The sequence below is a fragment of the Homo sapiens genome, chromosome 8 (genome assembly GCF_000001405.40).
Source record: "Homo sapiens chromosome 8, GRCh38.p14 Primary Assembly".
In the NCBI taxonomy this organism is placed as follows: domain Eukaryota; kingdom Metazoa; phylum Chordata; class Mammalia; order Primates; family Hominidae; genus Homo; species Homo sapiens.
In genome coordinates this window covers 29,259,462-29,284,992 of record NC_000008.11, presented here as the reverse complement: position 1 = coordinate 29,284,992, position 25,531 = coordinate 29,259,462, and the positions used below count along the sequence as shown (strand labels likewise).

The 25,531-nt window shown below is 44.5% G+C and overlaps 1 protein-coding gene across 6 annotated transcripts in view, besides 1 other annotated feature; it reads left to right on the top strand.

Annotated features, from left to right (window-relative positions):
* The first annotated feature begins 21,604 nt into the window (after positions 1–21,604).
* KIF13B (kinesin family member 13B) overlaps positions 21,605–25,531 on the top strand; it is a 196,111-nt gene continuing 192,184 nt past the window's right edge. For 5 of the 6 annotated variants that reach the window (XM_005273458.2, NM_015254.4, XM_011544458.2 and 2 more), the window contains exon 1: positions 21,923–22,013. In XM_005273458.2, the coding sequence (XP_005273515.1) occupies positions 21,959–22,013 (55 nt within the window). In that variant the 5' untranslated portion in view covers positions 21,923–21,958. Of the gene's footprint in view, positions 21,708–21,922; positions 22,014–25,531 lie in introns of those variants that run through there. The other variant, XM_011544459.4, reaches the window with a different exon arrangement.
* Positions 21,716–22,545: a silencer, noted in NCBI's record as "silent region_19069". NCBI's record gives its function as "represses an Ori minimal core promoter by ATAC-STARR-seq in GM12878 lymphoblastoid cells {active_cell/tissue: GM12878}" and the evidence as "EXISTENCE:reporter gene assay evidence [ECO:0000049][PMID:35858748]".

Below are 25,531 nucleotides of genomic sequence, written 5' to 3'. Positions count from 1 at the left end.
AGTTTTCTGTTTCTCATGGTTTATCTCAGCATCAGCATCCCATTCTAGTCTGCAATGGAAAAGTCATTTCCTTACAGCATGAGCCTTACTGCTAATTCCAAAAATTTCATGTTCACAGTTAGCAATCACTCAACCTTCAGACAGTACTAAAACATTTTATTTGATTATTTTTAAAAAGCACCAGAAAAAAAGTGTTGATTACAGAAAATTGGGAAAATATGAAAAGTATAATAAAAAAGTAAAATGAGCCATAATCTTCCCACTCACATATAACAGTGTGAATTGTTTCTTTCTAGTTTTTCTTTTTCTTATACTGTATATATATTCATATACATGCATTGTTTGACAAAAAATTAGATCACACTGTAAACTGCTTCTTAAAGTTACTTTTTAAAATGAGTTTTGGCTAGGCACGGTAACTCACACCTGTAATCCCAGTACTTTGGGAGGCCGAGGCGGGCAGATCACAAGGTCAGGAGTTCAAGACCAGCCTGGCCAACATGGTGAAACCCTGTCTACTAAAAATATAAAAATTAGATGGGCGTGGTACCAGGTGCCTGTAATCCCAGCTACTGGGGAGGCTGAGGCAGGAAATTGCTTAAACCGGGAGGCAGAGGTTTCAGTGAGCCGAGATTGCACCACTGCACTCCAGCCTGGGCGACAGAGCAAGACTCTGTCATGGAAAATAAATAAATAAGTTTTAAGGTACAAAAACATGAGTTTAAAGGACTGCATTTATTCATTAGAAGGGCATGCAACATAAAACAAAAGGACTGTACTTAATGACTGCATCCCATTGTTAAAAAATTTAATATATTACATATATGTCACAGTTTATTTCCCTACTGTTGAAAATTTAAACTATTTTCAATTTTCAAATGTTATAAAAAAAACCCAGTCAACTATCCATAATTATAAATGTTTAGGAACTTCCTTAATTATTTCCTTAGGATAAATTTCCTGAAAATGGAATTACTGGCTCAAAGTTATAAATATGTTTAAGACTCTTGAAATGCACATTCAAGTTGCTCTCCAGACAAGTTGCACAAGGCTGGGAATGGTGGCTCATGCCTGTCATCCCAGCAGTTTGGGAACCCAAGGTAGGAGGATCACCTGAGGTCAGGAGTTTGAGACCAGCCTGGCCAACAGTGGTGAAGCCCCATCTCTACTAAAAATACAAAAATTAGCCGGGTGTGGTGGTGGGCACCTGTAATCCCAGCTACTCAGGAGGCTGAGGCAGGAGAATCGCTTAAACCCGGGAGATGGAGGTTGCAGTGAGTTGAGATTGTGCCGCTGCACTCTTGCCTGGGCGGCAGAGCGAGACTCCATCTCAAAAAAAAAAAAAAAAAAAAAGAAAGAAAAATGAAAAGTTGCACCAATATATATTTCTACCACAAATATCTGAAAGTTTGTTGTTCACAGGGCCTGTGCCTGTGTGGTTTTAGCAGTTAAAGCTCCACATTTCACAAGAGTCCTCTGCAGGACATGAGAAGTCCCAGTTTTTAGCAATGAATGTGGAAGACTGAGGTCAAGTACAAAACTTGCATGGCAATCAAAAAATTGGGGTTGAAAGCAACACTGGTTTCGGTGTCAAGCGGTTAGTGCACAGACTGTCCACCTTCCATGGTCATTGGCCACTGATACTGATTTGCAGTTCCCAGTAATAGACATTATTATTAGGGACAAGGGCTGCTATAATTCTTGCTGGGCATGATAGGACTTCAGTGCACAACTCACATGCTTTGTTACTGTGAGCATGGACAGTCTGGCTCTGCCTTTGCCTGTGGAGTAACTGTTGTGCTTTGTTTGTATTGAGATAGTGTAGTTTAATCTTTAACACTGTGACTATTACGATCAGGTTTTCTAAGAGTTCAGATTACAATACCAATGCCAGCATGACCCAGTAGTCACTGAAAAGGAAGGCTAAACAACTGTGTCATTTTAATGACAGTTGGAAGGACAGGGTGCCTGATTAAGGAGGCAAATAGCAGAAACAGCACATACTTGATGGGTGGGGTGTGGTAGACAGGAGAATAAGGCACATATGGAGCAGATTCTCACAAGTCTGGGGTTAGACAGGCAAGACTTTCTCAATCAAAAGGTTTTTTGGGTTTTTGTTTGTTTGTTTTTGAGACAGGGTCTTACTCTGTCACCCAGGCTGGAGTGCAGTAGTGTGATCATGGCTCACTGCAGCCTCAAACTCCTGGGTTCAAGCAATCCTCCTTCCTCAGCCTCCTGGTAGCTGGGACTACAGGTGCACACTACTGCACCCCACTAATACTTTTTATTTTTTGTAGAAACAGTCTTGCTATGTTGCCCAGGTTGGTCTTGCACCAAGGATCCCTTGGCCTCCTGCCTCAGCTTCACCTGGCCAGAAGTTTTTCTGTTTCTTCAAAAGACACCAAAAAGGCTGGGTGTGGTGGCTCACACCTGTAATCCCAGCACTTTGAGAGGCAAACGTGAGATCACTTGAGGCTAAGAGTTTGAGACCAGCCTGGGTAACATAGCAAGTCCCTATTGCTACAAAAAATAAACCTATTAGCCAGGCGGGGTGGTGCGCACCTGTCTCAGCTGCAGGGAGGCTGAGGAAGTAGGATCACTTGAGGAAGTAGGATCACTTGAGCCCAGGAGTTCAAGGCTGCAATGAGCCCTAATGGCACCACTGCACTCTGGCCTGGGTGACAGAGTGAGACTCCATCTAAAAAAAAAAAAAAAGAATTGGCTTGAGCATACCACGCTAAAGAACACACATTATCATATCGTTCCCTTGATTGCTCTATGAAACACCAGTATTTCAAAGAATGGGTTAGATCACACCAACAACAGTCACCATGAAGGGAACCAGAACATGCCACGTTGGCATATTGACTCTTTTGAGATGAAGGCAATTGAGAAATAGCAGATGTGGGAAGAGCTCTCTGTCCTCCCACCTGTCTAAAAATAAGGCATATATTTCCCCTCAAAACAGGTAACTCTCTCCTTGCCCCAGAACAGAAGAGCGTTTTGATAACTGGATACAGGGAGAAGACATTGAGACCAGTTTGCATAAACACACCTTACTCATGAAACCCTTATCTTCCATTAGTTCTCCCATATATTTTTGTTGTTGTTGTTTGAAACAGAGTCTCGCTGTCTCCCAGGCTGGAGTGCAGTGGCGCAATCTCGGCTTACTGCAATCTTTGCCTTCCAGGTTCAAGCGATTCTCCTACCTCAGCCTCCCGAGTAGCTGGGATTACAGGTGCCTGCCACTACACCCTGCTAATTTTTGTATTTTTAGTAGAGACGGGGTTTCACAATGTTGGCCAGGCTGCTCTCGAACTCCTGGCCTCAAGTGATCCACCTGCCTCAACCTCCCAAAGTGCTGGGATGACAGGCGTGAGCCACCGCACCTGGCCAGTTCCCCCATATATTTCTAGTTACTTCCCATGATTGTCCCTTGAAGCCCAAACTGCTTTGTTTTTATTTATTTTATTTTATTTTTATCTTGCATCTGCAGCTCAAAGGACTCTTTTCCTTGTGAAAATGGTATATAAGCACCCGAGTCCAACTGCTTCTTTGAGTTTCACTTCTTTTCTGTAAATGCCTGTGTATGTAACTGCTAAACAAAAATTTTATCTTTTCCCCTGTTAATCTGTCTTTTGTTCATTTAATTATCAGGCCTCAGTTACTGAATATAAGACAGCAGAGGGAAGGTTTCTCCTCCCCAACAACAACAAAATGTTCTCTCTACTTCTTAGGTACTTTCCCAAAAAAAAAAAAAAAAAAAAAAAAAATCAAATTTCAAATCATCCTCTTGATTTCTATGAGGATTTTAATGAAACTATAGAAAACATAGAACAAAATTATTGATATATAGTTAATATTGATATATTATCCAAATATAAACTGGGCCTTGCCAGTCTATTTGCATATGTGGCAAATAGTACAAATGTAAATTTTGGGAAATTTCATTCCATTTTTATATTGCTTACCAAAGACAATAAAAAAGATCTTTCCTGTTCAATGTCCTGCACACTTTGGACACCACATTGCTAAAATGGAGTGTGGCTTGCTTACCTGTAACATTGAGGCTTTCATTATGAAAGTTTTGGTCACTTGTTAGTTCCCTCAAAGCTGCAAGATTACTTAATGAGATATTAGACTTTATAAAAATGGAAGGAGGTAGTCTCCTTAGACATGTGCCCATAAGACGACTGTCTGGCTGCCAGCTATAAAAAATTATTATTGCCAGGCGCAGTGGCTCACGCCTGTAATCCCAGTACTTTGGGAGGCTGAGGCAGGTGAATCACAAGGTCAGGAGATCAAGACCATCCTGGCTAACATGGTGAAATCCTGTCTCTACTAAAAATACAAAAAATTAGCCGGGCGTGGTGGCGGGCACCTGTAGTCCCAGCTACTCAGGAGGCTGAGGCAGGAGAATGGCGTGAACCTGGGAGGCGGAGCTTGCAGTGAGCTGAGATTGCGCCACTGCACTCCAGCCTGGGCGACACAGCAAGACTCTGTCTCAAAAAAAAAAATTATTATTATTATTATTATTGAGACAGGGTCTTGGTCTGTTGCTCAGACTGGGGTGCAGTGGCATGATCATAGCTCAGCACAGCCTCAGACTCCTGGGTTCGAGTAATCCCCCCTCCTCAGCCTACTTAGTAGGTGGGACCACTGACGTGCATCATCATGCCCGGTGAATTTTTTTACTACTTGTAGAGACAGGGTCTTGTTATGTTGCCCAGGTTAGTCTTGAACTCCTGGACTGGACTCAAGAGATCCTCCAGCCTTGGCCTTCTAAAGTGCTGGGATTACAGGCAGGTAATTAAATATTGTCTGTAAAGTTGTATTTTCAAAATGTGAGACAAGGGCCAGGTGCAGTGGCTCACCCCTGTAATCCCAGCACTTTGGGAGGCCGAGGCAGGCAGATCACCTGAGGTCAGGAGTTCAAGCCCAGCCTGGCCAACATGGTGAAACCCCGTCTCTACTAAAAATACAAAAATTAGCCAGGCATGGTGGTGCATGCCTATAATCCCAGCTACCCAGAAGGCTGAGGCAGGAGAATCACTGGAACCTGGGAGGCAGAGGCTGCAGTGAGCCGAGATCACACCTTTGCACTCTAGCCTGGGCGACAGAGCAAGACTCCATCTCAAAAAAAAAAAAAGTGAGACAAGGAGCATGTCCTTCTCTAATTTGAAAATACATTGAGGCTGAATTATGGGGAAAAAAAGGTTACACTAACAGAAATTTATATGCTGTGTCTCCAAAACTGATGATCTTAGAAGAAGCCATAAGACCATAAAGAGCCATGACTCCACATGAATTGTTCTGTGTAGGTTGTGACAAACATGTATATAGTAATTTTTGGAAACAAAGACTGCTTCAAAACTAAAAAAAAAAATAAAAGATAAATGTTACCAGAAAAAGGCAGCCAAGTTAAACAGGACTTTCTGATTTCTTTACTAAAACTACAACTTATTTGGAATCCAGTTTTTATTTCATAAAATCAGATTACATCTGTGCTTTAAACCCATTTTTCCCGAGAGGGATTTAACTTATGACAGCATCCAATGTCCTTTGGAATATTTACAAATGATGCACATCTTAGATGTGGATCGTCTATATGATGGATGTACAGATGCAGAGGGCCTCATTGAAAACAGCTGGTTTACAAAACAAGGCTGTAGATACAAAGCAGATGGACATTTTTGGAGTGTTGGAAACTAATTCTTCCTAGTCTAAAAACCTGCCATTACTAGTAAGTAAAATCCTAAGGATTCCACGCTTACAAGCTTTTGTTGAGATGATATTCAGCTTGATGTCATCCCAAGAAACTGACACCAGGAATTAGTATACCATGGGATCAATAAGGGCAGAGCTACCGGTCAGACTGAATTTTTCATTTGACCATATTCAGTTCACCACTGCAGGAAAAAAAGAAGGATATCCTAAAGGCTGAAGGCATTTCAGAGGAATATTATTGGAAAAGAAAACAAAGAGTAAAAATATCCTATATTATGGAACAGAAAGAAATATGTTGTTGTTTTTTGTTGCTGGTATTTTGAGACAGAGTCTGTCGCCCAGGCTGGAGTGCAGTGGCACGATCTCCGCTCACTGCAACCTCCTTCTCCCGGGTTCAAGTGATTCTCCTGCCTCAGCCTCCTGAGTAGCTGGGATTGTAGGTGTGCACCACCACGTCCGGCTAATTTTTGTATTTTTAGAAGAGATAGGGTTTTACTATGTTGGCCAGGCTGGTCTCAAACTCCTGACCTCGAGTGATCCACCCCCTCAGCCTCCCAAAGTGCCAGAATTACAGGCATGAGCCACCGCGCCTGGCTATCATTATTTTTTATTAGATATAGGTTAATATTTGTTTAACTAGTCCTATTGTATTCATGCTCTCCTTTCGAAGAGTATTACATTTGTGTATTTTAAGAATATATGAGGCCGGGTGGAGTGGCTCATGTCTGTAATCCCAGCACTTTGGGAGGCTGAGGTGGGCAGATTGCTTGAGTCCTGGAGTTCAAGACTAGCTTGGGCAACATAGCAAAACCCTATCTCTATAAAAAATACAAAAATTAGCTGGGCAAGGTGGCACAGGCCTGTAGTCCCAGCTACTTTGGAGGCTGAGCTGGGAGGATCACTTGAGCCTAGGAGGTTGAGGCTGCAGTGAACCGTGTCTGTGCCACTGAATTTCAGCCTGGGTGCAGAGTGAGATCTTGTCTCAAAGAAAAAAAGGAAAAAAAAAAGAATATACAATAATATAATCTACACAATTTAAATATCTAATAAAGAGTTAAAAAATTGTTGTATCGGGCCAGGAGCGGTGGCTCACACCTGTAATCCCAGCACTTTGGGAGGCTGAGGCAGGTGGGTCACTCGAGGTCAGGAGTTTGAGACCAGCCTGGCCAATATGGTGAAACTCTGTCTCTACTAAAAATACAAAAATTAGACGGGTATAGTGGCGCACATCTGTAATCCCAGCTACACAAGAGGCTGAGGCAGGAGAATCACTTGAACCCGAGAGGCGGAGGTTGCAGTGAGCAGAGATCACACTACTGCCCTCCAGCCTGGGTAACAGAATGAGACTCTGTCTCAAAAAAAAAAAAAAAATTGTTGTATCAGAGGATGCAAAGAAACGTTATAAAATATCATTATACTTTCTTGCACATTATTTTTAATTACTTCTATTATTAATTACTACTAATTGCCTCTGTTAACTAGTCTTATGTGGTTTTGTTTAAATAATAGCATTTATGGAAGAAAAGTAACACAGAATATGTAATTTTAAATAAATACCTATTTTTCATATTTTATGTTAAAGTAGTAACACACATATGTGTAAATATATATATATATATACATATATATATATTTTTTTTTTGGTCTGTTATGATTGTTTCCCAGTTGACTCTCTAAAAAGCTGGTCACCATACACCAAAAACTAGGCATTAGCTTTTTGCTAAAAGTTTGCTAGCCAGGTGGTGGCTCATGCCTGTAATCCCAGCACTCTGAGAGGCTGAGGTGGGTGGATCCCTTGAGCCCAGGAGTTCAAGGCCAGCCTGAACAACATAGCAAGACCACCCACCCCCCATACCATCTCTTAAAAAAAAAGTTTGCCAAATCGTTAGACAAGAAAATGTATGTTAAATAATGATTTGATGAATAATTTTTGAGAAAATGTACATTTCTTTGATTCCTAGAAAGACTGAACATTTTTCATATGTTCATTGGTCACCAAATGACTTCCGTTGGAGCAGCCTGTTTTTAACTTTTGGCAACATTTTTACCGACCTCTTTTTGTCTTTTTCTTTTTGATTTGTTAAGACTTCTTTAGGACTGTACCCCACGCCTATCATATATTGCAAAAACATCTCAAATTGTTGCTTGCTCTTTATGGTGGATTATTTGGACATACTGTAGAAGTCTTTATCTTCTGAGTTACCTATTTTTAGTTTTTCCTTAAGGAGACAGTTTCATGCAAGTTTAAGAGTGGGGCTCTGGGCCGGGCATGGTGGCCCACGTTCATAATCCCAACACTTTGGGAGGCTGAGAGGGGAGGGTCACTTGAGCTCTGGGCAACACAGACCTCGTCTCTAAAAAAATATATATATATTTTTAAATAAAGTATGGGGCTCTGGGCCAGGCACAGTGGCTCATGCCTGTAATTCCAACACTTTGGGAGGCCAAGGCAGGTGGATCACCTGAGGTCAGGAGTTTGAGACCAGCCTGGCCAACGTGGTGAAACCCGATCTCTACTAAAAAAATACAAAAATTAGCCAGGCATGGTGGCGGGCACCTGTAATCCCAGCTACATGGGAGGCTAAGGCAGGAGAATTGCTTGAACCCGGGAGGCAGAGGTTGCAGTGAGCCGAGATCGCGCCAGTGCACTCCAGCCTGGGCAACAAGAGCAAAACTCCATCTCAAAAAAAAAAAAAAAGAATGAGGCTCTGGAGTTCTAAGTTTGAGTCCCAGCTCCACCTAGATAGACTTTGAGCAAGTATCTCAGTACTGTTACTATTACTGATGCCTTCTCCCTTTGCTCGAGATCAGCTAAATATTCACTTTTCTTTTCTTTAGTTTTTCTAGTTTTTATACCAAGCCTTTCATTTGTCTGGAATTTATATTGGTAAACGATGGCTAAATCATCCTGTTTCTAGGGAGGCTTGTGCTTTCCTCCCGTAGAAGATGGAAAAGGGTGAGCCCGCAGCAGCTGTCCCTCTGTTCTGGGTCCTGCTCAGCTGCCTCTGAGTCACGCATGCTGTGGCACTGGGAGGGTTTTATAGCTCCTGGCTTCCTGGTGAGCAGAACAGCATCCAGATTGGGTCTCAGCTGAAACAAGTCTCCCTTCGTGGCATAGAAAAATGACCTCTATGCGCTTCCTCTGCGTGGCTATTATGGAGCCCCTGGCTGCAGCTGTCTTGGGTTTCTCTTTAACTGCTTCATGCCCAGCAGCCAGAAGATTAAAACCGCAGGCGACATCTCTTGGAGCTTGTGCCATTTTCTCCGACCTTCTCTTCCCTCCAGAAGCAGGATTGCCCACCCATTCTCATGTTTCCTGCCTAAGTGACACCTTCTAGATCTGAATCAGGGGTGACTGGTTCTTCTTCCTCTGCTCCTAGGCTCAGGCCTCACCTCCACCACCCACCTGCAGGTGCAACATGTGACATGCTTGGGAAAACAAGCTCTTGTTTACCTGCCTGGTAACAAAGTAGGAATTCTACGGACATTTGATTCCATTGTAACAGCATAATTACCTTCAAACAAATTCTAACTTTCTGGAAATGTCAAGTGTGTCATATTCACTTTAATTCCCTGTTGGGCAAGTACCTTGCATTTATTACATATGCAGTCAAATATTGGTTAAATTGAATTATATTTGATTTTTAAAATATTGATAATGAATACAGGGAGGAGAGTGTCTTTGTATATGGATGTAGGCTGGACTCCTCCCCAGGCCTACCTCTGCCAGATTTCTTTTTATCCAACTCTTAATTTATCTAATATTTCTCAGAGGAGAGCTTTGCTCCTTGTCCACATTATTCTTGGGGGGAAAAAGTCAGTTGCTTCTCCTTAGGCTAGGGGCCCTGGGCAAAATAGTTTCTTTACCTCTGGCTTATCTCACTCTTTCTCCTGTGGATTTTTTGAAATCCCTGGAAAATTCTAGATCAGATTTGCTGATGAGCTATGGGAACCTCTGAGCTTAAGGGAGCATGTAGGCTGCAACCGCAAGTTCTTCTGACTAATCTAATCCCTCCGGAGGTGGGTGCCCCAGGCAGTCAATGCGTTTGTACCACAGCCTGTGAATATTTTATGGGTGTCCTTTTGTGCTCACTAATGGGGCCTGAACTGTACAATCTGCCTTAAATAATATCAAAAGAATACTATCTCCTGACCTCTGTCCCTGAATGATTTATGGAGATGAACTAGGCCTATCAGAGATTTATTATTGATGCTGTTCTTTAGAGACATTTTTCAACAAAGTGGGGATGGGGGTTGTAAATTGATGTTCATCCAGACAGTGAACACTTTGGGGGAGTTTAGTGTGAAATCTGTGCTTTTGGAGATGGTTTTTAAGTTTCTGACAGAAATAGAATTCTAGCTCTTTGGAGGTTAGAAGATTAGAAGGGATTTCAATTTTGTCAATAAAGAGGCCAAAAGAATATTCTAAAGATCTTTTCTCCCACTACTCAAGATTGTGTAATTCCTCTAATTTCTTGTCAATCTAGAGTATCAATCAAAATAATTAAAGTCCTTCCTTGGCTCCGGTCTCTCCCACCTCTATGCCTTCTTTTATCTGAAAGTCACTATTCAGCCACCGAGTATTTATTAAGTCGGCTGTGTACTCTTCACTTTGAGTGATACCAAAAAAGGGAAGACATTATTTCTGCTACTGAGAAGTCCTCAGTCTAATTGGAGAAGACAAGACCTACATACATTATTTAAGTCAGCTTGTAACCAAATGTGAATATGGCACAGTGCTAGAAAAGTTTCCAGAAGGAAAACATTAAGGTGTGCAGGATGAGTGAAGCATGACTTTACGGAGAGAATGGGGCTTCAATGGTTAGATTTCAACTGGCAAAGAGCATCCTAGAAAAGGTAGCCACATGAGTATAAGTCACTAAAGCAACAGTGTGGGTTACAGGGACTGTATCAGTTGGGAAGAGAAGAGAAAATAGGGGCTAGGAATGGAAGGAAGTGTCATTTTCCAGAATAAAGTGGAGCCCAGAGCCCAGAGCTATATGATCAGTATGAAAAGAAGACTCTCCTGGGGCAGAACCCAGTGACTTCTAATCTATATATAGATTTATATATATAAACATGTATATTTAGACAGAATCTCGCGCCATCTAAGCTCACTGCAACCTCCACTTCCCAGGTTCAGGTGATTCTCCTGCCTCACCCTCCTGATTAGCTGGGATTACAGGTACTGACCACCATGTTTGACTAATTTTTGTATTTTTAGTAGAGACAGGATTTTACCATATTGGCCAGGATGGTCTTGAACTCCTGACCTCACGTGATCCGCCTGCCTCAGCTTCCCAAAGTGCTGGGATTACAGGTGTAAGCCACCATGCCTGGCCCAAATCTCTACTTCTGATTTGTCTCTTACTGTGGTTCCCCAGTTCCCACTGCCCCCACCACATTGGCCTCAGAGGTTAGACTTCCTCCTTTTCAAACCTCTGTCCCACATGTGGACCAATGTCCTTTCCTTTGCTTCCCCTTGCATAGGTGAAATAAACATAAATTTAAGAAACATTTACTAAACACAGAGGGTAAACCTAAAGAAAACCAATACATAACTAATTTAGTTTATAAAGTACACCTTGCCTTCTGGGCTTGTAAACACTAGCTTATTCCAAACCTTAGGGAAAGTGTGCATTGCCTGGGTCCATTCTACCTAGCCTATTTTATTTTATTTTATTTTTTATTTTGGAGACAGAATCTCACTCTGTCGGTCAGGTTAGAGTGCAGTGGCACAATCTTGGCTCATTGCAACTTCTGCCTCCAGGGTTCAAGCGATTCTCATGCCTCAGCCTCCTGAGTAGCTGGGACTACAGGCGCCCACCACCACGCCTGGCTAATTTTTTGTATTTTTAGTAGAGACAGGGTTTCGCCATGTTTCCCAAGCTGGTCTCGAACTCCTGAGCTCAGGCAATCCGCCCACCTTGGCCTCCCAAAGTGCTGGGATTACAGGCGGGAGCCACCTCGCCCTGTCCTTAGCCTCTTTTAGGGGACATCTTTAACCTTCAACATCCAAGAAGATCCTTCTAAACATCTCAATTCCTTAAAATCCAAGTCAATTCAATTCAGCCTCCTAAACCCACAGGGTTGTGACTTTACCTTCTCAGGAGAAATGCAATCCACCTATGACAAAGTGAGTGACGCCTGTGCACAGTTAGGAAGGATAGTTTCTGCCTGGGAGATATCTTTGGGGAGGGGCCGTGCAAGGCTTTGAAAGCAAGAGCTGTTGAAGGCTGATTGCAATGGGTTCAGGATAAGTGGATAGGAGAGATGTGGTTTTTGAGGTACACAAACTCACTTGAACTTTTTGCATGGTATGCCCCTGAGGCTACTCTCTGATGCAGACTAGCATTTCTTTCTTTTGCCTTTGGTCCTCTTTATTTTTTTGAGCTGACATCTCATTCTGTGGCCCAGGCTGGTGTGCAGTGGCACAATCATGGCTCACTGCAGCCTCAAACTCCTGGGCTGGAGCAATCCTCCTATCTCAGCCTCCCAAGTAGCTGGAATCACAGGCATGCACCACCACACCCAGCTAATTTTTCTTTTCTTATTTATTTATTTTTGAGATGGAGTTTCGCTTTTTCTCCCAGGCTGGAGTGAAGTGGCGCGATCTTGCCTCACTGCAATCTCCACCCACTGGGTTCAAGCGATTCTCCTGTCTCAGCCTCTCAAGTAGCTGGGACTACAGGTGCCTGCCACCACGCCTGGCTAAGTTTTGTATTTTTAGTAGAGATGGGTTTTCTCCATGTTGGCCAGGCTGGTCTCGAACCTATGACCTCAGGTGATCCACCTGCCTCAGCCTCCCAAAGCACTAGGATTACAGGCATGAGTCACTGTGCCTAGCCCTGGCTAATTTTTTTTTTTTTAAGACAGGATCTTGCTATATTGCCCAGGCTAGTCTCAAACTCATATCCTCAAGCCATCCTCCCCTCTCTGCTTCCCAAAGTGCTGGGATTACATGCTTGAGCCACCACGCCCGACTCTTTTGTCTTCTTTCTTTCCTCAGCTGCCCACTTTTTTTTCTTTTCTTTTCTTTTCTTTTTTTTTGAGACGGAGTCTTGCTCTGTTGCCCAGATTGGAGTTCAGTGACACGATCTCAGTTCACTGCAACCTCCGCCTCCTGAGTTCAATCAATTATCCTGCCTCAGCCTCCCCAGTAGCTGGGATTACAGGCGCCCGCCACCACGCCTGGCTAATTTTTGTATTTTTTTAATAGAGATGGCGTTTCACCATGTTGGCCAGGCTGGTCTCGAACTCCTGACCTCAAGTGATCTGCCCGCCTTGGCCTCCCAAAGTGCAGGGATTACAGGTGTGAGCCCCCGTGCCCAGCCTGCCCACTTCATCTCTAGCTCCTCTTTCCCCAGGAACACCTGAAGGTCCTTAGCTTTGCCTTCCACGTTCTCCCCCAGGCCGAGCTACTGAGCCTCCTCCTTTTCAAGGATAGTGTCCTTAAAGGGGGTTCCCACTCCGTACTGAGCAGCAAAGAGCAGCAATACAACCTGAAGAAGTTACCAAATTTCCAGAAATCTGACCAAACCTCTTAGTCCTTAAAGACCAGGCGTCTTTTAAAAATCTTTGTATCCCGGCTGGGCAAGGTGGCTCATGCCTGTAATCCTAGCACTTTGGGCCTGAGGTCAGGAGTTCAAGACCAGCCTGGCCAACATGGCAACACCCTGTCTCAACTGAAAACACAAAAATTAGCCAGGCAAGGTGGCACACGTCTGTAATCCCAGTAACTCCGGAGGCTGAGGCAGGAGAATCACTTGAACCCGGGAGGCGGAGGTTGCAGTGAGCCGAGATCACACCACTTCACTCCAGCCTGGGCATAGGAGCGAAACTCCGTCTCGGGGGAAAAATAAATAAATCTTTGTATCCCAGGCTCCTAACATAGTTCCAAGCCTGTGATAAGGAAGTGTTTTAACTAACCTAATATATTACTTAAAACAAGGGGAAAAGAGCCATGTCATAGAAGCCAAGGGAATCAAAAGTTTCCAGAAGCGGATGCTCAATAACACCAACTATTACAGAGACATCAAATGAGGACCAAAAACCACGCTCCTAGATTTGCGAAGGGAAGGTCAATGGTGTGCTTTGTCATGACAGTTTTAGTGCAGGGGTGAAGGCAGGTGAAAGCGTGATTGAATTAATCATTGGTTGACTAATGACAGGTGGAGAAGGGAAGCTGGTCAGTGTAGACTATTATGTTGCGGGGAGAGCTGGCTCCTGAGGAGGTAGGAAGACTTCGGGAAATTGTCCTTGTTTTTTCTTATAGTGTTACTGTTTGTTCTTGTTTTTCCATGGGAGGTTCTCAGCTGAGGATAAGGGGTTAATGGAGAAGGAAAGGTTGAATGTATCAGAGAACGGCTAATAGAACAACAGTGCCATGGAGGTGGTGTGAAGAGTATGGAAGAGCGGCCTTAGCCTTGAGATGAAGACACATCTACTTTGGCCACTGAGGGGGAAGTTAGTGCTGGACGCAGTCACAGAAAAAACTGTGGGGGTAGGAAGTTTAGGGAATTTTCACCTGAGAGCCCTATTTTTTTTTTAAAGAGATAGGGGTCTTGGCTGGGTGTGGTGTCTCATGCCCGTAATTCTAGCACTTTGGGAGGTCAAGGAGAGGGGAATCACTTGATCCCAGGAGTTCTAGACCAGGCTGGGCAACATAGTGAGACCCAAACTCAAAAAAAAAAAAAAAAAGGAGAGAGAGAGAGAGATGAGGTCTCGCTATGTTGTCCAGGCTACAAAGCAGTGGCTATTCCCAGGAGGTGCAATCACGGCTTAGTGCAGCCTCAAATTCCTGGGCTCAAGTGGTCCTCCTGCCTCAGCCTCCCAGATAGTTGGGACTACAGGTACGCAACACCATGCCCAGCCTGAGCCCTAATTTTCGCAGGGATGTAGAAGCAAGGTGATCTGGCACAGAGGGTGGTCATGTTGGGTTGGGCTTGAAGAGAATGGTGATGATGGTAGAAGTCTCTGGAGGTGTATGAGCAGGAAAAATGGTTTGGAGTGCTACTGAGGACCCCACTAGGATCAAAGATCACAAACTCTTCAGGGTACCATGTGCATGGATCTGTGACTTCCTCCAGCTGAGCTCCCTGCCCAAAATGAGAGTCTTGGAGAAAGGAGAGTGATGACATAGGTTTAGGGTTCCCAGGGCATGAGTGGTGTTGATGATACAGTCAAGACAGAGGTTTAGATTGCAGATGTATTAGGTTGGTGCAAAGGTAATTGTGGTTTTTGCCCTAAAGTAATGCCAAAAACCACAATTACTTTTGCACGAACATATAAAATGAATCCCGGAGAAGCCTCGGTGTGACAAAGGGGGTAAGTTGAGGCATTGGAGGCTTAAGAGCGATGTCTGGATACTTGGGAGTAGGCGAGTGAGTCAGGTTGGATGAGGTTGAGGTTGGATAAGAATGACTGCTTTTCATTTCCTAGGTGGAGCAGCCAAAGATCATGACAAAGTCCAGGTGTGGCCCTGCGGCGGCTGGTTGCTGGGGAGTGTCAGTAAAGGCTGTGGACCCAGGAGAGCACCAGACACTACATGAAGAGGCAGGGCAAGTAGTGGTAATGATCTTATTGCCTGGACAAGGGGACCAGGGCTTTGCATTCAGGTATCTCTTACTCAGGTCAGTGTGCAAGTTCACCGGCCCCAGGAAGTCTGTTTCCTCTCTGTTTCTTTTTGAGACGGAGTCTTGCTCTGTCTCCCAGGCTGGAGTGCAACAGTGCAATCTCTGCTCACTGCAACCTCCGCCTCCTGGGTTCAAGCAATTCTCCTGTCTCAGCCTCCCGAGTAGCTGGGATTACAGGCACGCGCCACCATGCCCGGCTAATTTTTGTATTTTTAGTAGAGATGGGGTTTCACTATGTTGGCCAGGTTGGTCTTGAACTCCTGACCTCAGGTGATCAACCCACCTCAGCCTCCCAAAGTGCTAGGATTATAGGCATGAGCCACCATGCTGGCCTGTTTCCTTTCTGTTAAAGGCCATAATAATAGTGCCAATCTCATGGGATTGTTGTGAAAATTAAATGAGATCATATGTGTGAAGTGCTAAATGCAATGCCTGGCACATCATAAGCACTCAATAAATAACAGCTAGAAGAGGTCATTGCTATTAGTGAGATCTAGGCTTTCACTAGGAGTTCACAATGCTGGAAAGATAATGTACACCTGAAAAATATGTAAGGGGACATGTAGGGCCTTGTTTGTGGAAAGGGCAAAGATTTGTGGAATCAAACAAATTTGTGTTTGCATTCCAACTCTGCCACCTACCAGCTGCGTGGCTTGAGGCAAGCCATTTAAGCTGAGAGTAATGATAATGCCATGTGGTTAATATCTTCATTCTCCAATGTGTTAAGTGCCTACTAAGTACCAGCCACTATACGAGGTGTTAGAGATCAAGAGACTTTAAAAAGATACTTTCGGCCAGGTGCGGTGGTCATGCCTGTAATCCCAGCACTTTGGGAAGCTGAGATGGGTGGATCACCTGAGGTCAGGAGTTCAAGACCAGCCTGGCCAACATGATGAAAGCCTATCTCTACTAAAACTACAAAAATTAGCTGGGCGTGGTGGCGCATGCTTGTAATCCCAGCTACTCGGGAGGCTGAGGCAGGAGAATCCCCGGAACCTGGGAGGCAGAGGTTGCGCGGTGAGCCGAGATTGCGCCACTGTACTCCAACCTGGGCAACAGAGCGAGACTTCATCTCAAAAAAAAAAAAATATTAATAATAATAATAAAAAGACACTTTCAAGCTGGGTGTCGTGGCTCATGTCTGTAATCCCAGTACTTTGGGAGGCTTGAGGCAGGTGATTGCTTGAGCCTAGGAATTGGAGACCAGCCTGGGCAACACAGTGAGACAAAAAATACAAAAATTAGCTAGGAGTGGTGATGTATGCCTGTAGTTCCAGCTACTTAGGAGGCTGAGGTTGGAGGCTCATTTGAGCCCAGGAGTTTGAGGCTGCAATGAGCCATGATTGTGCCACTGTACTCCAGCCTGGGCAACAGAGCGAGACCCTGTCTCAAAAACAAAAGACACTTTATCCAGGCTCAAAGAGCACACAGTAGCACAGCGTAGCTGGGGAGGCAGATGAAGGTATGCTTATAATTGGGAAAACTAAGTGCTCTCACAAAGGTAGGTCTCAGGCAAGCAGGGAAATCGTGACACAGCAAGACTCCATCTCAAAAAAAAAAAGATAGGACAAAGTGACTTCTATAGCCTATGAAGGGACCATCAGAAACTACTGAATGGGTAGATCAAAGCCATAAAAAGAAAACTAGAAATCAGTTTAGGAATGAGCAGATTTGCAAAATGTGAGGGCAAAAAATGAGAAACTCCTTATCTGCACAGCTAAAATTCAACAGCTCTATCAAAATGGCTATAGAATCTACACCATAAATACTTGTTGATTTCCTAAGTACTTGCTTTAAGAAACAGGTACAAGGGAATGCCTTATTTACTAGTTCTTTGTTTCTTTTTCCTCTAATAGTTGAAAAGAGAGAAACTGGCCAGGTGCAGTGGATCACACCTGTCATCCCAGTACCCTGGGAAACCGAGGTGGGCGGATCACCTGAGGTGGCGAGTTTGAGACCAGCCTGACCAACATGGCGAAACCCCGTCTCCACTAGAACTACAAAAATTAGCCGGGCATGGTCGTGGGCGCCTGTGATCCCAGCTACTCGGGAGGCTGAGGCAGAAGAATCACTTGAGCCCAGGAGGAGGAGGTTGCAGTGAGCCGAGACTGTGCCACTGCATTCCAGCCTGGGCGACAGGGCGAGACCCTGTCTCGGAAAAAAAAAAAAAAAAGAGAAAAAAGAGAGAGAGAAAAACCAGGACTTTTCTCTCTGTCTTGCTGGAGCCTGTGCTGAACCCTGAATCCTGTTGATAGTTCTCCAATTTCATTTGGTGTTGAAGCCCCTGAAACTCCCAGGCTGCAGGTTGTAACTTGCAATTTGGTCCTCTGTCTCCCGCCTATCAGAGGAACACTTTCCATGGGAAGATATGGGCATTTCTAGTCTTGGGCTCTCTCTCTTTTTTTCTTTTTCTTTTCTTTTCTTTTTTAGAAGACGGAGTCTCACTTTGTCGCCCAGGCTGTAATGCAGTGGCGCGATCTCAGCTCACTGCAAGCTCTGCCTCCCAGGTTCACGCCATTCTCCTGCATCAGTCTCCGGAGTAGCTGGGACTACAGGTGCCCGCCACCACGCCCAGCAAATTTTTTTTGTATTTTTAGTAGAAACGGGGTTTCGCTGTGTTAGCCAGGATGGTCTCCATCTCCTGACCTTGTGATCCACCCGCCTCGGCCTCCCAAAGTGCTGGGATTACAGGCGTGAGCCACCGCGCCTGGCTGGGCTCTCTTTTAAGAATCATCTTCACTGCAAAAGTCAAAGGAGACAGAGTAGTATGAACAGAAGTCAAAAGGGGAAACAGCTCACAGGGGTTCTTCCCTGCAGTCCCTAGGGAGGCTACTGTCCTTTTCCTCTAAATATTTTCAGAACATTTTAAATGGTTTTGAGGACTTTAGAGAAAGTCCTCACTTCTTCTCTATTCTATTCTTCCCTTCCTTGAGGTCCTTAGGGGCTTTCCTCTCTTTTCAGTTTCAGCTTAAGTTTAAACACAATATTTCCATAGAAATGTTCTCTTGTTCTCTTTTTCTGCCTGCTTTGACTCTGTTTAAAAAGCCAGATTCAAGCTAGCACCAGGACGTGCCATTTAAAAATTAAATTTACCTGGTTATAAAAGAGATATAAAGTGACGTATGGAATCTTGGGACATTCCAAATCCTTATTTTTTATAACCTGAATGTAGGGAGGTGGTAATTAGGATGTGTGTTTAAGACAAGAGTACCAACCTGTGGTAACCAGTCTGGGGCCATGGCAAAGGTGACTTCAACACTAAATAAGAGCAAAAGAACAGTAGGGCAAAACAATTTCAATATAAAATCATACCCTTTATGATCTTTTTTAAAAAAAAAAAAAGATAGTGATGGTAGATAGTAATTTTTGTGTGCATTCTTTTTCAAATAATTTACTCGGTGACCTAGCACAATGGCTCACACCTGTAATTCCAACACTTTGGGAGGCTGAGGTGGGAGGATCACTTGAGGTCATGGGTTCAAGACCAGAGTGGGTAACATAGCGAGACACTGTTTCTACAAAAAATTTAAAAATCAGCTGGGCATGGTGGTGCATGCTTGTAGTCCCAGCTACTTGGGAGGCTAAGGTGGGAGGATCGCTTGAGCCTGGGAGGTTGAGGCTGCAGTGAGCTAAGATGGTGCCACTGCACTCCAGCCTGGGCACAGAATGAGACCCTGTCTCAAAAAAATATATACTTGCTAAAATTAAGAAGCTGTCATAGTGTCAAACACTGAGATTGGCAATCCTAATTTGGTTATCCTGATGTTGTTTACTTTATTGGGCTGTGAAAATCAAAGGACCTGCTGCACTAAACCCACTGCTGGTCTAGATGAGACCTCCTGAAGTGCAGAGGCAGTGCCCCTAAGAAAGAAATTTCCTTTTTTAAAAAAGAGGGCCTTCTGGGGTAGCATTTTCTATTTTTAACCTTTTTTGAAATTTTGATAAAAAACACGTAACATAAAACTTACTATTGGCCAGGCACAGTGGCTCACACCTGTAATCCCAGCATTTTGGGGGGGCTGAGGTGGGTGGATCACTTGAGGTCAAGAGTTTGAGACCAGCCTGGCCAACATGGTGAATCCCCATCTCTATTAAAAATATAAAAATTAGCTGTGTGTGATGGTGCACACCTGTAATCCCAGTCACTCTGGAGGCTGAGGCAGGAGAATCACTTGAACCCAGGAGGCAGAGACTGCAGTGAGCAGAGATCATGTCACTCACTGCATTCCAGCCTGGGCGACAGAGCAAGACTCCATCTCAAACAAACAAACAAACAACAACAAAAAGCTTACCATCTTGGCTGGGTGTAATGGCTCACACCTGTAATCCTAGTGCTTTGGGAGGCTGAAGTGAGGAGGATTACTTGAGGCCAAGAGTTCAAGACCAGCCTGGACAACATAGCGAGACTCCATCTCTACCAAAAAATGAAATATAAAAATTAGCTAGGTGTCGTGGTGCGTACCTGTAATTCCATCTAGGTGAGAGGCTGAAGCAGGAAAATCGCTTGAGCCCAGGAGTTTGAGGCTGCAGTGAGCTATGATCACACCACTGCACTCCAGTCTGGGCAAACAGAGCGAGATCCTGTCTCTAAAAAAACCCAAAAAACCTTACTGCCTTAACCACTCTTAAGTGGTTAGGTGGCGTTAAGTACATTTACATTGTTGTGCAACCATCACCACCATTCATTTCCGCAGCTGAAATCTTCCCAAGCCGAATCTCTGCACCCATTGAATACTAACTCCTCATACCCCCTTCTCCTAGCCCTTAGTAACCTCCAGTCTACTTTCTATCTCCATGAATTTGACTACCATGTGTATCTCATATATGTAGAACCATGCAGTGGTTGTTCTTTTGTGTCTGGCTTATTTCACCTAGCATAATGTTTTCAAGGCCCATCATCCATGTTGCAGCATGTTTCAGAATTTCCTTTCTTTTAAAGGTATTTTTAGACCGGACACAGTGGCTTATGCCTGTAATCCCAGCACTTTGGGAGACTGAGGTGGGTGGATCACCTGAGGTCAGGAGTTCGAGACCAGCCTGGTCAACATGGCAAAACTACGTCTCTACTAAAAATATGAAAATTAGCCAGGATTGGTGGCACATGCCTGTAATCCCAGCTACTGTCGAGGTTGAGGCATGAGAGTCGCTTGAAGCCAGGAGGTGGAGGTTGCAGTGAGCCGAGATCATGCCACTGTACTCCAGCCTGGGTGACAGAGCTAGATCCATCTCAAAAAAAAAAAAGTATTTTTATACTTTTTGACAACATTGCTTGTATTGAAGATACTCAATAACAGGATGGTTGGTAAAAGGGCAAGTCTTACCAGCTTTCTGTATTTACTCATCTGTAAAATGGTTCTGAGTTCTATTACTATCATTTAAACACATCTAAGCAGGGGTCACAAACCCACAAGGTCCAGGCGCATGTGTGGTAAAGCCACCTGGAGGGGGGCCGTGGTGAAGTGGAGAGACGGGTCTCTGATAAAGGTGGCTGCTGCTATTTAGTTCCAATCCACTCTGTCCAATATGTAATGTAGGCCCAGTACTGCATGCACAAATCTGATTTCACACTCTGTTACCCAAGCTGGTCTCAAACTCCTGGCCTCAAGCAATCCTCCTGCCTCAGCATCCTAAAATGCTGGGATTCCAGGTGTGAGCCCCTGCACCTGGCCACAAATCTGATTTTTATGTGTTGGCCAACACTGTTGGGCCAAACAGAACATGTTTGCGTGCTGGCTCTGGCACCCAGGCCACCTGTTAGAATGTCTGCCAGGGCTAATAAAAAGCTAATTTTAGTGTGGCCTCATTCATTAATTCATGCAATTAATGTTTATGGGTCTCTACTAAAGGCTAGGTTACACATATGTTAATCTTATTTAAAAATGTACCTATTTTACTAGGTATTAGTATCATATCCACTTTTCATATTAAAGACAAGCCCAGAGCGGTCAAATAACTTGCCCCTGGTCACACAGTGGGAAGCGCTGAGGTGGGCTTTGAACTCAGATGGTTTTCAGAGCCCAAGGTCCTGTCTCAAAGGAGGGGGACTCACAGGACAATGTTAACCCGTGGACCTATGGACACTCCCAGAAAACGTGATTTGCAACTTGTCGTGAAGGACGAGCTCAGCAAACAAGGCCGGACGTCAATCCAGGCAGAGGAAATAACTTGAGCCAGGGATCAAACACTAAGATTGGCAGGAAATGAGCAGGAAGAGGTAGCGGGGTCCCTGACGCCATCTATTCAATTGTTTTTCAGAAGAGGTATCAGCTCTTGAAGGCTTACTTCTCAATACTGGCTGCGAGAGCAAGAATGGTGTGTAATTTACAAAAGCCGTCATTGCTGTAGGTAAGTTGTAGCAAACGACTCGCGCCCGAGCATTCCCGCCCCCGCCTTCGCTGCGGCCCCGCCCACGACGACCCTGGGGAACTACAAGTCCCGCCATACAGCGGGGAGCGCCCGGAGCTCGCGCCGGCCCCGCCCCCAGCCCGGTCCCCACCCCCGGCTCCGCCCCCGGCCCCCTCCCGCCGGGTCAACCCCGAAGAGTCGCCGGTGGCCGCGGCAGACGGAAGCCGAACGAGTTCCTCGGCGGCTGCAGGATGGGGGACTCCAAAGTGAAAGTGGCGGTGCGGATACGACCCATGAACCGGCGAGGTGAGAGCCGAGCCCTCCTGGGCCGCCGGGGCGGAGGCGGCAGGTGCCTGGCGCGCCCTTCCCTCGGCCGCCGTGGGGGGTCCGGCGGCCCCGCCCCTATAGTCAGCGGCGGGGCGCGAGGAGGGGCCCGGGGACCCTGAAACCCGCTCCCGCGCTGAGACGCCCGGCTCCCTCTTCTCCCCTCCCTTCCCCCCTGGCCAGCCCCGTCCCTGGCGCCGTCGGGCCCCTCGTGCCGGCCCCGCTGCCCCTTCCGCCTGCGCCCGCCCCGCCCCTGCGCCCTTTTGCCCTCTCGTCTCCCCCGGAGGTTCCCGAGGGCGCCCTCGGCCCTCGCGCCCAGCCTCGTCCTGGCCCCTCAGCCTCGCTCCTTCCCCGCCAGCTGTCATCGTCGCCCCCGCGCGCGGGTCGCCAGCCCCTGCAGCCCGCCTCGGGACCGCCCGGGACCCCCCGGGACCCCGCGTCTCGCCCGGGTCGCCCAAGCCTGCACCGCCTTGGCCCGCGGCGGGAAGAAGGGCAGGGGGCCAGGCGGGTGCCCCGCGGCGAGTTCCTTCCACCTGGGCGTCCTGAGATTGGGGTCAGGTGGAGGAGATGCCCTTTTCGTTGTTTTTGGACAGTTGAGAAAGTTTTGGTTTTGCCTGAAGTCTCATTCATCATCTCTCAATAAATAGCTAAAGTGCCAAGATTCTTGTGGAATTGTATCTTTCTGACATTCTCTTAACTCTGCAGGGAGTGTAGAGAAGGCAGATAAACCGAGTACATTTAAATAATCTGTAGACCCGGGGAGTGGAGAGAACCCCAAAAGTCAGGGGAGGAGGTGGGCTGGGTCTTGGCTTTGATAGTCAAAGCAGCATGACTGGGTGAGTTGCTTTAAATAAGATAATGTGTTTGAAAACGCTTTATATACAAGGTCCTGTCATTGGGGGTCACTATTACTGTCTCAGGAGATGACTTTGCCATTGATGAGACTTTGAACTAATTAGAATCATTTAAGTACCAGAGACAAAGTTGTAGCTTCTTAGCAAAATCAAGTGTTGTTTAATTTTTATGTAGAAATTATAGGTTGTTTTCCTCTTCTTTGCTTTCTTTTGTATATATTGAGACATACAGATCAACCAGTTGACATAAGCTTTGTTGGTTTGTCCTTCTCGGGGAAATTGGTTTCTCGCTTGGAGTTATCTCATCTATGGGAATTGTTTTGTCCTGTTCCTGCTAGGTCCGATTAAAGCTGTCAGGTGAGTTTTTTTCCCTAAGAACTTAATTACTTTAAGTTCTCAACTAGTGCAAGATTGAGTCCTGCTTTGCTTCACTAATCTCGTGCTCTGACAACACACAATAAACGTCGATACAATTCTGAAAATTTTCAGAAGCATCAGTTTTTAAATATTCAGGTATCTGTATTTCAGTTTACTTCCAGTTTACCATCACAATAATTTAAAGAAAGAAGCCAAATGAAACATAACTTATCTGGGAATTGATTCTGAAAGGATGGTTTCAGCACATTCTTAAAATTTCCTTTTCACAAAAAACTTGGAAATGTCAGTGCTAAAAAGAGGCCGCTAACCAACCACCACAAAAGACATCTCAGATATTTAGAGCCCTTTCCCTCTCCCTTTCCCCATTGGTTTCACTTTTTGAGGGAAATTCTTATGCTTTTCTCTTATAAATTGCCATTGATAAGGTTGTAATAAACATCAGAGTTTAGAGGAAGGCAAAGAATAATAGTTTTAGCTGTGGAACGGATGTGAGCTGATCCTTGGGTTCAACAATCATTTTGAAATTGAGGTTTACCCATAGATTCCATTAGCCTATATAGAGAAGTGCATTATTTGGTGTAAAGTACCTCCTGTGTTCACTTAGTGCCCATTCTTAGCCTTATATTTCCTGACGTGCATGTGGACTTCTTTTTTCAGTGATTACCACACATAAATTTGTTCTTTTCCATTTTTGTTATGAAGTAATTGTTCACATAAATATAAAGGTTATTATGGAATACAGTGTGGTGGGATTGTAAATCCAGTGATTTTTAAAAATTGGTGTCCAAAGTTTGTATAAAAAGACTAAAACAGGCCAGGCACGGTGGCTTACGCTTATAATCCCAGCACTTTGGGAGGCCGAGGCGGGTGGATCACCTGAGGTCAGGAGTTCGAGACCAGCCTGCCTAACATGGCAAAACCCTGTCTCTACTAAAAATACAAAAAATTAGCCGGGCGTGGTGGTGGACGCCTGTAATCCCAGCTACTAAGGAGGCTGAGGCGGGAGAATAGCCTGAACCCAGGAGGCGGAGGTTGCAGTGAGCCAAGATCGTGCCACTGTGCTCCACCCTGGGCGACAAGAGTGAAACTCTGTCTCAAAAAAAAAAAAGACTAAAACAAAACCATATTTCTTTCCAGTAATTTCCTTTTTTTTCTTCCTTGTATGATCTGTAGGAACCTTTCCAGTAATTTTGAAAAGAATATTACTTTGAACAGTTATTAGTATTATGTAATACTGTATAATTATGACAAAGAGTAAAACTTGAGTCCTAATAGTTTCTATCATATAGGTGCCGGAAGCAACCTTATAAATCGCTATCTATAAAAGAGGACGGGGATGAGAATGGGTTACTGTGATGATGTAGTTTTACTGTGTAGACTCTGATATTTGGAATCACATTAGCTATCTTTTGAGGAAAATCTGAAAATTTCCAGAAAACTCTGGTGTATTAAGTTCTTGTGTGATTCAGTGGTTGTGCTTAGGTGTTTGGAGTTTTAAGGTGGTTAGCTGATTTATTATTTAACAGTTATCCTCGAAGTGAGAGTATTTTAGTCTTTCTGCTAAACTGTATGTGGGTTTGGGAACCTTAGTTATTTGAAGGTTAAGCATTAGGCCCTAATTCAGTAACAGGAAGAGTTGTAATGGCTAATTTGTCAGAAATATTTGTCTAGTCATACATTTATTTTAACATTCCACTAACAAAAGGAAAAAGAAAAAGAAAAAAGTTCACATACTTTCTTCATCCTAACAGCTTTTCATTTCCATGCCAGTTTGTGCTCACACGTGTATGTAATTTTACATAATTTTAATATTACAACCTTTATTTTGCCTTTCTTCATCTGAGATGCAAAGCTAAACAACTAGAGAAAAGGGTAAATTTTTGTCACAAGATCTTCAAGTTCTATTTGCAGATATCGTTTGTTTTCCAGTGTTGTTGTTCAGACTGTACAGCTAAACAGATAATTCTTGTGTGCTTCCATGTGCCGCACAGAACACCCATTCATACATTATTAACCCGTCTAATCATTACAGGAGCTGAAAGTTCTGTAGCCGTAATTGGTGGGATTAGTTAGATCAGCAACATTCTCCTTTCCAGGAATTTGATGTTTTCTAACTTTAGGTGGCTTAAAAAACATTTAATAGGTAAGCAAACATTGATTGAGTGCCTGCCAGGTATCTGGCTTATATTAGATAGGATGAGATCTTAATGCTTTTCCTCAAGGGATTTCCTGTGTGTAAATCTGTATAAGATCAACTACCAAAATAAG